This window comes from Homo sapiens, chromosome 8, assembly GCF_000001405.40.
Source record: "Homo sapiens chromosome 8, GRCh38.p14 Primary Assembly".
In the NCBI taxonomy this organism is placed as follows: domain Eukaryota; kingdom Metazoa; phylum Chordata; class Mammalia; order Primates; family Hominidae; genus Homo; species Homo sapiens.
In genome coordinates, this window is record NC_000008.11 from 133,545,374 (window position 1) to 133,560,671 (window position 15,298).

The 15,298-nt window shown below is 47.2% G+C and overlaps 1 protein-coding gene across 6 annotated transcripts in view, besides 1 other annotated feature; it reads right to left on the reverse strand.

The window, feature by feature from the left end:
* ST3GAL1 (ST3 beta-galactoside alpha-2,3-sialyltransferase 1) overlaps positions 1 to 15,298 on the reverse strand; it is a 117,040-nt gene that overhangs the window by 90,526 nt on the left and 11,216 nt on the right. For all 6 annotated transcript variants that reach the window (XM_017013736.3, NM_173344.3, NM_003033.4 and 3 more), the window contains exon 2: positions 401 to 553. The gene's annotated coding sequence lies outside the window, so the exon portion shown is untranslated. The remainder of the gene's footprint in view (positions 1 to 400; positions 554 to 15,298) is intronic.
* Positions 7,101 to 7,210: an enhancer, noted in NCBI's record as "active region_28004". NCBI's record gives its function as "activates an Ori minimal core promoter by ATAC-STARR-seq in GM12878 lymphoblastoid cells {active_cell/tissue: GM12878}" and the evidence as "EXISTENCE:reporter gene assay evidence [ECO:0000049][PMID:35858748]".

The following is a 15,298-nucleotide window of genomic DNA, read 5'->3' on the forward strand; positions in this document are numbered from 1 at the left end:
GCTTGTCCTGTAGGCCACAGTTTGCTGATGCTTGCTCTAGGACACACCAGAGTGTCATGCCAGGCCTTCGTCAGGATGACAGGCCCTTGTCATCAAAAGATGTTCTGAATCCAGGTTTTTACTTACCAGTGTTCATGAGAGCTCAGAAAGCTCTCCATTTAAGAAAAAGAAAAGCTGCTAGACACTAACAGTCTGCATATTTCTCCTGAGGGACACTGTATTCCCCTTCCATGGGAACTCCTCTTAATGGCACGTTTCTGGGCAAGCAGGACATGTTTCAGAGACCAAGAAATAGGAGAATATCTTCCACATCCTCCATGGAACATAATCAATGGAAAACAAAACAAAACAGAAAAGACAGCACATCTCACTTGTGCTGCGGACAGATTAGTCACTTTACCTCCATAGGCTGAGTGACCGTCCATCTCTGGTCCCCAAATGGAATTGTCCTGACCCAAGCTCAATGCATTTGCTCACTGCAGCTCTTGGGGGTGTTAATTTCCTCTCATTGACATTTCCAGTTTAGGAAGATGAAATCTGAAAATGGTACCAACTGAAAGAGAAGAGGAGAAAAGTTTAAGTCAGTTTTGACAATTAGTCCATCCTCTGCCTTTTTAGGATGACTCAAGATAATGAAAAGATATTCACCCACTTATTCCACTCACTCACCCAATTATTTATACAGCACTATCTGTTAAACAAACACCTATTCTGTTCCCGGCACAGAGCCACACACCAGAACAGGAAGGTGAGTAACTCACAACTCCTCTCCGCAGGGAGTTCAGACTGGGAGAAAACAGAAAAATACACAAACAATTCAGGACAATGTAATACAGGCGGCTTGGGCGCCTGTAATCCCAGCACTTTGGGAGACCAAGGCAGGCAGATCGCTTGAGGTCAGGAGTTCATCACCAGCCTGACCAACGTGGTGAAACCCCATCTGTACTAAAAATACAGAAATTAGCTGGGCATGGTGGCGCACACCTGTAGTCTCAGCTACTTGGGAGGCTGAGGCAGGAGAATTGCTTGAACCTGGGAGGTGAAGGTTACAGTGAGCCCAGATCGTGCCACTGCACTCCAGCCAGGGACAGAGAGAGACTCCGTCAAAAAAAAAAAAAAAAAAAGGACAAATGACCAACTCCATCTAGAAGAAGAATTTGAACAGGAGATGATATTTTTAGCTGCTCCCTAAACAAAGCACTAATGAGGTGCTGTTTAGTAAAAACACAAAACATGGGGAAAGGAAAAATAAATATGTAAGATATGAATGTGAAAGTGTGACATCGGGGTTAGGATAAATCAGGCTGAGGCCAGATAGGAAAGGGTTTCTGAAGACTTCATCTGGCAGGGTGCGGTGGCTCATGCCTGTAATCCCAGCACTTTGGGAGGCCAAGGTGGGCGGATCACTTGAGGTCAGGAGTTCAAAACCAGCCTGGCCAACATGGTGAAATCTCATCTCTACTAAAAACACAAAAGTTAGCCAGGTGTGGTGGCACATGGCGCATGCCTATAGTCCCAGAGACTCAGGAGTCTGAGGCAGGAGAATTGCTTGAACCTGAGAGACGAGGTTGCAGTGAGCTGAGATCACACCACTGCCCTCCAGCCTGGGCGACAGCGAGACTCCATCTCAGGAAAAAAAAAAAAAAAGACTTCATCTGACAGGAAGAATAGCACAGAAACCCTCAACTCTTAACCACTGCTGTCGAAATGGCCCCAATTTGTTCAGGCCACCTGCACGCACACTCTGCAGTGTGGCTTTGCCTCCCCTCCCAGCATGAGGGAGAATCGAAGTTTGGCCACGAGACTTGCTTTAGCCAATGGCACCATAGCAAAGGTGACATAAATAAAGGCTTTAAAAGTGCTTATACCTAAAAGTTCCTCTCTCTTGCTGCTGAGAATCATTCTTTTTTTTTTTGAGATGGGTCTCACTCAGTTTTCCAGGCTGGAGGGGCCGTGGCATGACTACCACTCACTGCAGCCTTGACCTCCAGGGTCAAGCGATCCTCCCTCTAAGCCTCCTGAGTAGCTGGAACTACAGGTTCGTGCTATCACACCAGGCTAATTATTTTTATTTTTTGTAGGGTCTTGCTATGTTGCCATGGCTGGTCTTGAGCTCCTGGGCATGAGCCACCATGCCCAGCTGCTGCTGGAAATCATTCTGCTGCCACATTAGCAAGCCTGAGGTAGCCCCCTGGAGGATAATAGACAATGTGTGGAGAGAGGCTGAGGCACCCCAGCTCAGCCCCCAGATGTGTGGATGGGCCAGCACAGGCAATCAGCCTAACACAAACTGTGCAGACCAGATCATCAACCCACAGAAATCATAAATGTCTGTTTGTAGGCACTGGGGTTTGGGGCTGTTTGTTATACAGAGAAAGCTGACTGATACAACCACTGAGGTTTCTTTATACCGCTGGCAATGGTGATACATGAGGATAAACTTGTGTGTTAGGAAGAAAGTTCAGCCCCTGTTGAGTTGGTGATTATGAAGAGATAATGAGGGCCAGAAGGCAGGGCCCTGGGCAAAAGCAGGAGTGGGAGATTCAAGAGCTCTTTTAGAGGGAGAGACAACAGCATTTAGTGACTGTCTAAGCCCAGAGTTGTCTAAAGGCATTTGCCTGGTTCTGGAAACCATGTGTGGTGTTGACTATAAACAGATTCTATTTGGCACCTGCTGATGGGGGCAGGATGTTTACTTAGAAGATACATGAACATGACCAGAGTCAGCACAGTTAGGAGTCAGGGTCCAGGAAAGCTATAGGAACGAAACTCTTTCTTTTCAGAAATGAGAATTAAGGCACGATGCTCACTGCCACAGCCTCCTAGCCAGTCTTAAAATAGCCATCGCCTCTAATGCCAACTCCCTCTCTTGGCAGCAGCCAGGGGGATCCTTGTAAATTGTAACTCAGGCCTCCCTCCCTTGCATCACTGGCTCACACCTTCCCCATTCCCTCTGTACTTTCTACTCACCCTTCACATTTCAGTGTAAACACCACTTCACAGAGACATCTTCGCTGACTCTGGGGACAAGGCTGGGCACTGCCCCTCGATATTTTCAGTGTTCCCTGCATTCCTACAAAGCATTACCGCCAACACGTTAACTCCATAAGGGCAAGGGCATGTCTGCCCTACATACCACTGTGCCCTCACCACCCAGCACACCACTTGGCATGTGGGAGAAGGCCTATTCCTATTTCTTGAATGAGAGGGTGACCAAAACAATACAGGTACCACACTTCTAAGATGTTTTCTTGGACACACCACCTTCCAAACTCGAAGCTGGATTAGGGCCTTACCTGGGAGCACCCTGGGAGCACACATTCATGTGTTTCTTCATTCATTCTCTCATTTAGCAAGAATTTACTAAGCACCGGGCATCACCTCAATCCCACTGTTGGTTGCTCTCACTAGACTGAGACTTCAGAGGTGAGGAAGGGAGCTATATTTTACTTGTCACTAGATTTCCCCACTCTTACCCCACTGGCTATCATATGGGTGTAGGAGGCACTAAATAATGACCAGTGAATCCATGAATAAATGGGTGAACAGCCAGATCAATCTCAGAGAATCCATCAGGATGTGGCTGATTTATAACTCCGCAGAAGCTCATTACTGAGTTTGGGCCTTATGTATGTTACATCTTACTAAATAGTTGAGAATCCTTGTAATATAAAAACCTGCATGTATATATGCCTATATCAGGATATATACTGCAACTGTTCTATGCCATAAGATATAAGGCAGTAGCGGGGCGTGGTGGCTCACGCCTGTAATCCCAGCACTTTGGGAGGCCGAGGTGGGTGGATCACCTGAGGTTGGGAGATTGAGACCAGCCTGACCAACATGGAGAAACCCTGTCTCTACTAAAAATGCAAAAAATTAGCCAGGCGTGGTGGCACACGCCTGTAATCCCAGCTACTCGGGAGGCTGAGGCAGGAGAATCACTAGAACCCAGGAGGTGGAGGTTGTGGTGAGCCAGGATTGCACCATTGCACTCCAGCCTGGGCAATAAGAGTGAAACTCTGTCTCCAAAAAAAAAAAAAGATATAAGGCGGTAATCTATGAATCAGATTAAACATGGAGCCCTGCTCTGAATGAAGCCTCTGACTCCACAGCCTGGCACCTGTGGCCGACTGTGATCTTCAATTAAAGCCTAAGACTCTTCATGAAGCAACGCATAACATCTTGAACCAATTCTTTCATTGGTCTTAAGTTGGCTTTGAAAAAAATAAGTTGGCAATGGCATTGGATTCCAAATTCCAACTGACAAGTTTGCAACCTGGAGGCTTATCTTAAAAACTAGAACTCGCCAGGCGTGGTGGCTCACGCCTGTAATCCTAACACTTTGGGAGGCCGAGGTGGGCAAATCACCTGAGGTCGGAGGTTCGAGACCAACCTGACCAACGTGGAGAAACCCTGTCTCTACTAAAAATACAAAATTAGCCAGGCATGGTGGTGCATGCCTGTAATCCCAGCTACTCAGGAGGCTGAGGCAGGAGAATCGCTTGAACCTGGGAGGCAGAGGTTGTGGTGAGCCAAGATCGTACCATTGCGCTCCAGCTTGGGGAACAAGAGTGAAACTCTGTCTCAAAAAACAAAACAAACAAACAAACAAACAAAACTAGAACTGCACCCCATGTGGGGCTCACCTTTTGCAGCCTCAGTTTCTCAGCTTCTCTAATACAGCACTGGGGTGTTAAATGCAGAGAAAAGGCAATTATTCCACTGTCTTTCTGCCCCAGATCCCAGGAACAGCCTGATGAGCTCCTTAGACTTTCCTTGCCTTTTGGTTTTAACAGGAGCCCTGGAAATCTTTTCTAAAAGCCATGTCCCAGTTCTCTTCTCACTCGTGCTCTGCTGTCATGCCTCTTTCTATATTGAGTCCCTATTTCCCCACCCTTCCAAGATTGCTTCCAATTAAGAGCAACAACTAAACTCTTACCGCTGAAACATCTGTGAAGCATGTTCATACACACGAGCCATACAAGAAAGACAAATCAGAAAGTGTCCCCATTTTTGGAGAGGTTCAGAAAAGCTCATGTGACTCTCCAAGACCACAAATGAGGAAACCAAGGCCCAGAGAAGTGGCTCCTCCATGACACAGCTGGAGAGCTGTGCAGCTGGACAGTGGGCAGAGGGCCTTAGACCCGGGGTTCAGTGTTCTTCCTAATACCAGGCGAATTACTATCATCCTGTTCCAGCCCATTCATCCCTTTCATTTCCATCCATCCAACTGGTAGCCACTAGCACCAATCTAGGAGCCAAGCAGGGAACTGCTGGGCTTAAACCAAGAGACTCGGAAGCAAGAAAAATGTCTACCTTCTCCAGCTAGAGCACAGATTAGGACAAATTCCACTCAAACAAATCATGGTTATGTTCTCATTCCTCCTGTTCTGAACCCATAAATCATTATTTCTTGGCCCATATTCACGCTTCCACCATCCACAGCCCCCTCATGCCACCTGAGGCTCCTTTCTACTGTACAATATAATACAATAACTCTCATAAGAGAGTGTATTCTCCAATTTTGTGTCTTCTTGAAGTATAGCAGCAAACTAGAAGTAAAGCTGGATACCACTCCTGGAGGAGCAGGGCAAGTTTGCTTAATAAATCATAGCTTTTCCTCTCCATGCAAACAATCATCTGGATAACTGTTACCACTGGGTCTGGCTGAATACTATTGCTGCATTTTTAAATTATAGGGATCTTTTCTGAGGCCTGTGGGCATGACATGTTCCATCCAAAAAGTGTGGCCTGCTTCTAGGTGTGCCCCTAGGGGACACTGGTCAAGTCAAGCTGTGTGATATTAGAAAAACAGCCTTTTGGTGACTCACATCTGTAATCCCAACACTTTGGGAGACCGAGGCAGGTGGATCACGAGGTCAAGAGATCAAGATTATCCTGGCCAACATGGTGAAGCCCCGTCTCTACTAAAAATACAAAAATTAGCTAGGTGTGATGGTGTGCACCTGTAGTCCCAGCTACTGAGGAGGCTGAGGCAGGAGAATCACTTGAACCCAGGAGGCAGAGGTTGCAGTGAGCTGAGATCACACCACTGCACTCCAGCCTGGCAACAGAGTGAGGAAAAGAAAGAGAGAGAGAGAGAAAGAAAGAAAGAGAAAGAAAGAGACAGAAAGACAGAAAGAAAGAAAGAGAAAGAAAGAGAAGGAAAGAAAGAAAGAAAGAAAGAAAGAAAGAAAGAAAGAAAGAAAGAAAGAAAGAAAGAAAGAAAGAAAGAAAGAAAGAGCGAGCAAGCCTTTCTCTGAGTTTTACTTTACTCATTGGTAAAATGGAACTGTCTCTGCTTCAACTACTTTGCAGGGCTCTGATAAGAAGTAAGTGAATACAAAACAACATGAAATCACTTTGATACTGGTAGTAGCAATAACAGATAACACTTAAACTAGCATAACAGATAACATTTTTTAAGTACTTACAGGTACTTGCTAAACTAAGCCCTTTATACTCAAAAGCTCAGTTAATCTTCACAATGGTCCTTGGATGTGTATACTATGATTTTCATCATTTTGAAGGTGAGTAAATGGAGGCTTGAGGAGATTAAGTAATTTGCTCAAGGTCATATGACTGATAAAGGCTGGAGCCTGAATGATTAACTAATTCCTAACTCTACTCTATTGTAAAGTCTGGGACTAACACAGTTTACTTGCCATCAGTATTTACTGAGCCTTGCACTGGGCTGGGCCAAGCACTGTGTTCTGCCCTGCTGGGGACAACAGTACACTTTTGAGCTCTGCCCTAGAAAAGCCCACTGCAGGGGGAGAGAGAACACAGGTCCATCAGCAAGGAACCACACCACTCTGTGTCCAGGGCAGGCTCATGAATGTGCAAGTAGGTGGTTTCTTAATCTAGATTCCCATCCGGGACATGACACTGACGGAGAAGGAGATCAAGACTGAGACAGTCTAGCCAGATCAGTTCGCAAATGGGACAAGTTGCCCCGGAAGTAGGAAAGTGCAAGAGCAGACACAGAAGCTGAGTGAGGAATGGTGAGAGGACCTAGAAACATCTGGTGTGAGTGCTGGAAGGCCCTCAGCAGAGCCGTTGGCTGGGCTGCATGTCGAGAACCAGGTTTATGGGCAGAAATTCTGGGTGTGTGAACCAGGAATGACATGGTTCATGCCAGCGTTTGAGCAAACTGAGCAGGGAAGCTCAGAGAGTGGGTCCCCTTTGGGTGCGGTGGCATCTCCCTCTGTGGAGACCCAGGGACTCCAGAGGCCAACTTGGCTGATCTGAAAGTAAAAGTGAGAAGAACTTTGGGCAGGAAGCACATGCACCTGTTAGACTAGGAAAGCTGTTCTCACTTATAACCTCTCTCTCTGAAATGGGCTCAACACATGGGATCTCTCATAATGAAGTGCCTTTCTGAATTTGAAGGCTAACCACTGAGGTCTGGCTGCTTCGCTGGAAGAGCTATTATCATCAACAATAGCAACCATAGGTTAAGTACAGACAATGAGGCCAACAGCACGCAAAGCATCTCATGTGCATGATTTCATTCCAGCTTCACAGCAGTCCTCTGGGGCTGGTAGTTTTACTCCCATTTCACAGATGTGGAAATTAAGATTCTGAAAGAGTATAATTTGCCCAGGGCCACACAGCTAGAAATTGGCAGAGATGAGACTCAAAGTCAGGTCTGTCTTCAACACAATATCCCTTTGTGCTCAAAGGGATACTGAGTTCAAATGTAGAGACGGCGCCAGGGCTGACATGACCTTGAGGCACACACTATCCAACCCCCTGTGCACCCCACTGTTTGCATAAAAAGCCCTCCCTGCTCCACTCTGCTTTGCTGTTAACAGCTCTTAGTACCACATGGGCCATGAGCAGATTCATTGTGGCCAGAACGTAAGCAGAACTGAGACAATCAACTTCCAGCTCTCTCCACCTTCAACCCCAGGATGAGTTCCTGTACCCCAGCATCCAAACCCCTAGATCCCAGCTCCTGTTTCACCAGCCTTGCCCGTGTGCCTCTGGAAGCCTCAGTTTCCTCATCTGTAATGTGGAAATGCTGATGATGATGGTCATGAAGAAGACAGATGAGGAAAAGCCTCACTTTACCTGCTGTTCAAAAGGGACAAACACAATAATGACTTGGCCAATGGCTATGCCATCAACTGACCAGGGTCTTGGACAAGTTATCTCATCACTCAGTACCTGTGTCTCCTCTTTTGGTGATGGGGATAATAAAAGTCCCTGACCTCATAGGGTTATGAGAATGAATTAGAAAATGTACACAGGAGCTCAGAACACTGCCTGGTATGCTTGTTGAGAAGTGGTAGCGAGTATCTTTCTGTTATCATCATTTGAGGGCACTTAGTAAAGCATAGAGCACCAGAAAACATCAGCTGTGATTAGGATCATGCAGTGAAAAGGTCCACAGGCAACCTGTGCCACCTTTGGGAATCTATCTTAGGACTAAATTAGAGATGGCCAACAGCCTGGATACCAGGTTCCTAGAACAAAGTTTGCAACATAGGTTGCGGCAATCTAAGAGGCCTCACAGTGAGGGTCCAGAAGGATCCAGTGAGCAGGGTGCTAAGGGGGCCAGGAGGAAGAGACACAAGGGAGAAGAGTACAGGGAGGTGTCCGGGGCCTTATTGCTTCTGCAGACTCCATGCACTGAGCCCCTGGAACTGGGACCCTTCGACAAGATCCACCCAATCAGGGCTGTATAGCGGTTTCTGATTCTCATCAAAGGTGGAGGATTTCTGTCTTTAGGGAATAGGACCGCTCCTCATTGTTGAGCTCCTACTAGGTACCAGGCACTTTTCCAAAAGTTAATTTCACAACCATGAGCATGAGTCAAATTCTAGACCCATTTTTCAGAGTCTGCAATCACCTGCCCAAAGTCACCAGGCTACTCTGGAAGACACCTGAATGCACATGACCATCTGCTGCTCTCCGGCTGCCCCAACCCTATGCTCCCTTGCAGCGAATGACATGAATGAGCCACGTTTACACTGCAGCGGTGGGGGTGGATCCATTCCACTGACCCTCTGACAATGGTGTTCCAAAATCCTACACTCGACAGTGGGATGTAGGGGTGTAGGCAGATGAAGGGCTGAAGGCTGGAGAGTGAGAACTATGAATCAAAGGAGATGGGCCCTTTCTGAAAGGACTAAGGATGTCAAGAAGGCTAGGATTGCGCTGACTGCCCATGACCAGGTCAGCATGAGTGAGAGAGGGTACCTTCTCCTGGGCCACCACCTCCTCCTCTTCACATCTGCTACTGCCTGTCTGATTCAGATTGGAGAAACTTTAACTGAACACCTGCTTTCCTCCTAAGTGCTGGTCCAGCCATCTACTTGGGGTTTTTTTATTTCTTTATTTCTTTTCTTTTTTTTTTTTTTTGAGTCGGAGTCTTGCTCTGTCGCCAGGGTGGAGTGCAGTGGCGCGATCTCGGCTCACTGCAACCTCCGCCTCCTGGATTCAAGCGATTCTCGTGCCTCAGCCTCCTGAGCACCTGGAATTACAGGCACACATCACCACACTCAGCTAATATTTTTGTATTTTTAGTAGAGGTGGGGTTTCACCATGTTGGCCAGGATGGTCTCGAGCTCCTGACCTCGTGATCTGCCAGCCACGGCCTCCCAAAGTGCTGGAATTACAGGTGTGAGCCACCGCGCCCAGCCTACTTGGGTTTTTCTACTTCACTCTGAGGGCTGGGGAGACAAGGGAATGGGAAGGGATTTCCCGGCTGGTGTCTGTGCGGCCTGGGGAGGAAGCAGGCCACCCCCGCGGGGGACTGCTCAGCCTTTCCAGAATTGAACTGAGCTTCACTCCTCTGCCTTTGCTTTTTCTTCACCCGTCTCAGCCTGGCCGGGCTTTAGTTCATCTTCCTCATCTCAGATCCAATGGGTCTGTAATGGGAGGAACAGCACGCTTCCCTGGTGTGGATTTCTGTTGCTCCCCCTGCCGTTGTCATCCCTGGCTCCCCAGTCCTCTCAGCCACCAGGCTCGTAATCTCCAAGTCACTTTCCATGTGTCGTTTCTCAGCACCGTAGTGCAATCTGTTCTCAAACCCCAGAGATAAAGTCACCAATTCTCACATTGGAGCAAACACTCCAAATGTGGCTCACAGTGACTCCCACCCGCACCATTGATGGGACATTCGTCCTGCCCTCCCATCCACTGTGAACCTGGGCCACATGGTTTTCCTAAAAAAAAAGAAAGGAGGGGGAGTCTGATGAAATCCCATTCTGCAGGAAGGAAAAGAAACCTTGCTTGCACCTCATTACCGAAAGGATCAAGCCATTTAGGACCCACCTGATTGGGACCTCCCTGTTTCCTTTTTTTCCACCTCTTCCCTCCAATCACAGGAGTCGGCGGGTGCCTGGCTTGGGCAGTGGATTCCTCCATGGGGTGCCCTCTCCACCCCTCACTGCTGCTGTTGGAACGGCTCACCATCTTTCCAGTCCCAGCTTGAAGGCCATCTCTTCTCTGGGGCTGTTCCCAACCTACCCATTTTTTTTGTTGTTGTTGTTGTTTGTTTGTTTTGTTTTGCTTTGTTTTGTTTTGAGACAGAATTTCACTTTGGTGCCCAGGCTGGAGTGGAGTGGCACGGTCTCGGCTCACTGCAACCTCCGCCTCCCAAGTTCAAGCAATTCTCGTGCCTCAGCCTCCCGCGTAGCTGGGATTACAGGCACCTGCCACCACGCCTGGCTGATTTTTTTTGTATTTTAGTAGAGACGGGGTTTCATCATGTTGCCCAGGCTGATCTCGAACTCCTGAGCTCAGGCAATCCACCCATCTCGGCCTCCCAAAGTGCTAGGATTGCAGGCATGAGCCACCATGCCCAGCTTGTTTTTTCTTTTTGAATCTCCACTCTCACCCAGGAAGATGAGTTGGTGTCACCCCCAGAGCACAAGGGGTAACACTAAGCTCGGACGTGGAAGTCACTTGCCCCAGATCTCACCACTGATCAACAGCAGGCCTGGTGACTCCAGAGCCTGTCTTCTCCCCCTGGCCTTGGCCTCCTGGACAGGAGACAACCCCTTGGCCTTGCTCTTGGATGGACTGAATTTGCTTTCAGAGGAGTGAGATGCTGGCAGGCTGTACAGCTGTCCTCTGGGCCCAGCATATATTGTTCTGTCCGCTCAGAGTCACGTTCCTTTCTCAGATCTGGGAGGAATTGTGAAACATGGACCTGTTTGTCTTCTAAGCAACCTCAGCTAATGAAGGCTGCATAACTATGTACTTTCGAACAAGATTTTTAGGATGAAGAAACGAAAGAAGAAAGGGAGGGAGAAAAAGAAGGAACGAAAATGGGAAGGAAGAGAAGGGAGAAAGAAAACTATTAGCCATGGAAACCTTGCACCCAAGGACACGGCTGACATCATATAAAGTCTGTCCCTGGCAAATGTGACCCAGAATGCCACCACTAACAGTCCTATTTATAGCCCTTTGAAATATGGTGTGGTGGAGGGGGGACATTTTGTTCTTTTGGCCTCTTAGATGATAAAACTAAGTGGAGGGAAGTGGGAGGGAGGTTGGCAGCGGTGCTATTAATGCAGGCAGGGAGACCAGATATACTGGGTCTCGAGCCTTTTATGATGTGCATGCATGTGTTAGAAGGAAACATTGTGACATGGTGGAAAGGGGTATGTGACAACCCCCCAACCTGACCCTCCCAACCTGGGAGACCTTCAGGCAATGGCCAACCTCAGCGAGCCAGCCTTCTCAGCTGTAAAACACTGATAGCACTAGCAAGCTCAAAGCCTGATTAGACAGTGAATGGGCCTAGAATGACCAGTATGTGGTATTTCCTGGGCAGAACCTCAGGAAGAAAAAGAGGGGAGGCAGATGCCAGAATTCACAAAAGACAATACAAGCTTGCTCACCGGGAGGTCTAAAGGAAGTGAGGAGACTGTGCAGTGTAAACACAGTGGAAGTCATCCAGTCAACCAACGCGTGGCACAATGGGGTCCTCATAGGATATGTGGTACCCATGGTCCAGGCTGCTCTTCCTGCCTGCTCTAGTGCAGGAGGGCACAGAAGGCATGTTCTCTAGGGCACCCTGAGCAGCCCAAGATGAGAGGATAACTGAGTGGTAATGCAGGCCTTGGCAGTATCACCCCACGGGCTGGCCTCCTATCCAGGTTCTGCCTGATGATGGGTTGAGCTGTCGCACCAGCCAGGCCCTGTCTGTGCTGTCCTCTCGGCTGTAAAATAAAGAGGCCGTGGTCTGACTCACACCTGTAATCCCAGCACTTTGGGAGGCCAAGGCAGGCAGATCATGAGGTCAAGAGTTTGAGACTAGCCTGACCAACATGGTGAAACCCTGTCTCTACTAAAAATACAAAAATTAGCCAGGCGTGGTGGCGCGTGCCTGTAATCCCAGCTACTTAGGAGGCTGAGGCGGAAGAATTGCTTGAATCCAGAAGGTGGAGGTTGCAGTGAGCTCAGGAGGCTGAGGCAGGAGAATTGCTTGAATCTGGGAGGCGGAGGTTGCAGTGAGCTGAGATCATGCCACTGCACTCCAGCCTGGGCAACAGAGTGAGACTCCGTCTCAAAAAAAAAAAAAAAAAAAAGAGGCCAGTGTCTTGAGGTCCCCCTCATGGCTAAAATCTTAGGTATGTCTCTTGTGCCTCTGATGTCCAGTGATGATACCCTAGCTTCACAGCCCAGACAACTTTCCCATCCTTAAATTCAGATAGCTCCTAAGAGCACCATTCTGCCATCTGCTCCAGGAAGCGCTCTCTGGTTGGAAGCTTTGAATGAGAAAGAGCCTTCTAAACCGCAAAGCTGCCCAGAGGTCAAAACACCACTGTGTGGGGCACAGAGCTCCCTACCACAGGTAGTGAAAAATGCAGCTCAAGGAGGCGGAACAAGAATGTAATTGATGATGATGTGTTGCCACAGCATATCTTTAACAAGGACTCTTCTGAGCACGGTCCAAGTGTTAACTCATTGAATGCTTATTTATTACCTCCTGGGAGGTAGGTACCATTGTTATCCAGATTTTATGGATGAGGAAAGGGAAGTACAGAGAGGTTCAGCAACTTGCTGAAGGACACGCAGTTAGGCAGTGGCAGAGCTAATACTTTTATGAGTAAATCAAGGAATCAATGAAAGACTCAGTAGATAGAAGAAGGTTGAACAAGGTTACTGCAAAGGCTCTTTGCAAATGCTAAGATTTTATAATTCTTTGACACTATTTAAGTGTGCAACCTCTGTAACTAATTATTCAACCAACATACCATGCCCCCGTCCTCCCGCAAGTAATGGTGACTAAAGTTTATGACACCATGGCTCAGAGAAAAAGAGAAAACCTCCTTTACTCCATCCGGGGCAGGTTCCTGACAATGCAGAAGTATTCTGATATTCAAAACTGTCTCCACAGCCAGTATATTTTTTTCTCCTTGTTTGGATTTCTGACATTGCATAAATGTCAGTTTAATGTATAAAATCCTATGCCGCAGGTCTTCCAATAATGCTGTTTCATTCAACAGCATTTCATTATAACATTGATGAGAAGAATACGGATTCCCGGCCGGGACCACTGTGTGTGTGGAGTTTGCAAGTTTTCCTCATGTCCTCGTGGGTCTTCTCCAGGCACTCCAGTTTCCCACACCCCAAAAAGCTGTGCATATCAGGTGAACTGCTGTGTTTATGTGGTCCCAGGGCGATAGAGTGTGGTTTTGTGTGTGTGTGTGTGTGTGTGTGTGCATGTGTGCACGTCCTAAGCCACTGGGACAGGCTGTGGCCACCTGCGATGCTGTTTGGGGCCTTCATTTAGAAGTTTGGTGATATTTTTATGAACAGAAATACATCAGAGATACTTAACTCTTGTTTATATCAGTTACCCTATGGTGAAATCAGTTTTTTATGTCGTTTCCCTTAAACTCACAATTTCCAAGGACCTATCGATGTCATTAAATGAGGACTTACTGTGGTCCAAGGATCATGTTTGCTGAGCTCAGTTTGTTCCAGGTCGCAGGGAGAAACAGAAAATAGCAGCAGACCTTAGGTTGGAACCAGTTCTTCAACCCATTCTGAAAGGTGTGTTTTCCATTTGAAGCTTCTATCAGGTGGTGAAAGAAAGAACGATGGTACTGTCTGCCTAATCTCTCCCTTTCATTTTAATTTCCTTTTTTTGCCAAAAGACTGAATTTTAAAACATAAGATTATGTTTTAGAAACAACCAGTAATACACCTCACAAAGACATTCCTATTCGTGGCAGCTAACATGTTTCCTGAGCAACGGTCTTTATTCATCAAACTCTCCACCAGGTGGTAGGATTAACAGTGTTTTCAAGTAAGAAGAAGAACAACAAACCTTTCTCTCCATTGTGAAGATGTTATTAAAAGGGAATTTTCCAAGGTTGCAACAGCGACGCTGACGATTCCTTTTACGTGAAGCAGGTTGCCTCCAAGAGGCTCCCATCTAGCTAGGGAGCTGGCTAAGTTTACACGCCTGATTGCAAACTTTGCACTCAGCCTTCCTGCTCAGTCCTTTCTCCAAACCCCCCGGCAGGCTCAAAGTGGCTCACCGCCTCCCTCAATCCCCAGGCACCTTGGGGCTCTTCGAATTCAATTTATAACAACAAGCCACAAAGATGAGTTCTTGCAAGCAGCCATGCAGGGACGGATGTGGAGCAGTTAAAGGAAACAAAATTACAGATAGGAGGAATAGGTTCTAGTGTTCTGTGGCACTGCAGGGTGGCTATAGTAAACAAGGATTTATAATATATTTTCATATTTTCAAATAGCTAGAAGAGAGGATTTTGAATGTTCCCAACACAAATGATGAATGTTTGAGGTGACAGATATGCAAATTACCCTGATTTGATCACTCTACATTGCATGTATGAAAACTCACTACGTACCCCATAAATATGTACAATTACTATGTGTCAGTTTTACTAAAAAAAAAAACACACTGAAATACCATCACTTCCATCAGCATGACAACTTATAACAGAAAAAGTATTTGCATTTCGTGTGTATTATCTATTGCTGTGTAATAAATTATGATGAATTTAGCAGCTTAGAAGAAAATAAAGCCAGAATGTAACAGGCTAAATAAACCCACGGACTCACCCAGTGATGGTGAATCGGGGAGAAGACTCAGAGCCCCAGGCTTTGGGAGAATGAAGCTGCTGGTGTGAGACCTGGAAAGCACCAGGTGGAGAAAAGTCAGGAACTCCTGCCCAAAAGGATGTTACAGAGCATGGGTTCATGGTCACCAGAGGGCCCAGGTGGTCACAGCACGTCTCGTGGGCTGGGCTGGGGGCCAGGCACCTGGTGTGACTAGTTTCCTATCTGAACCTTAGAG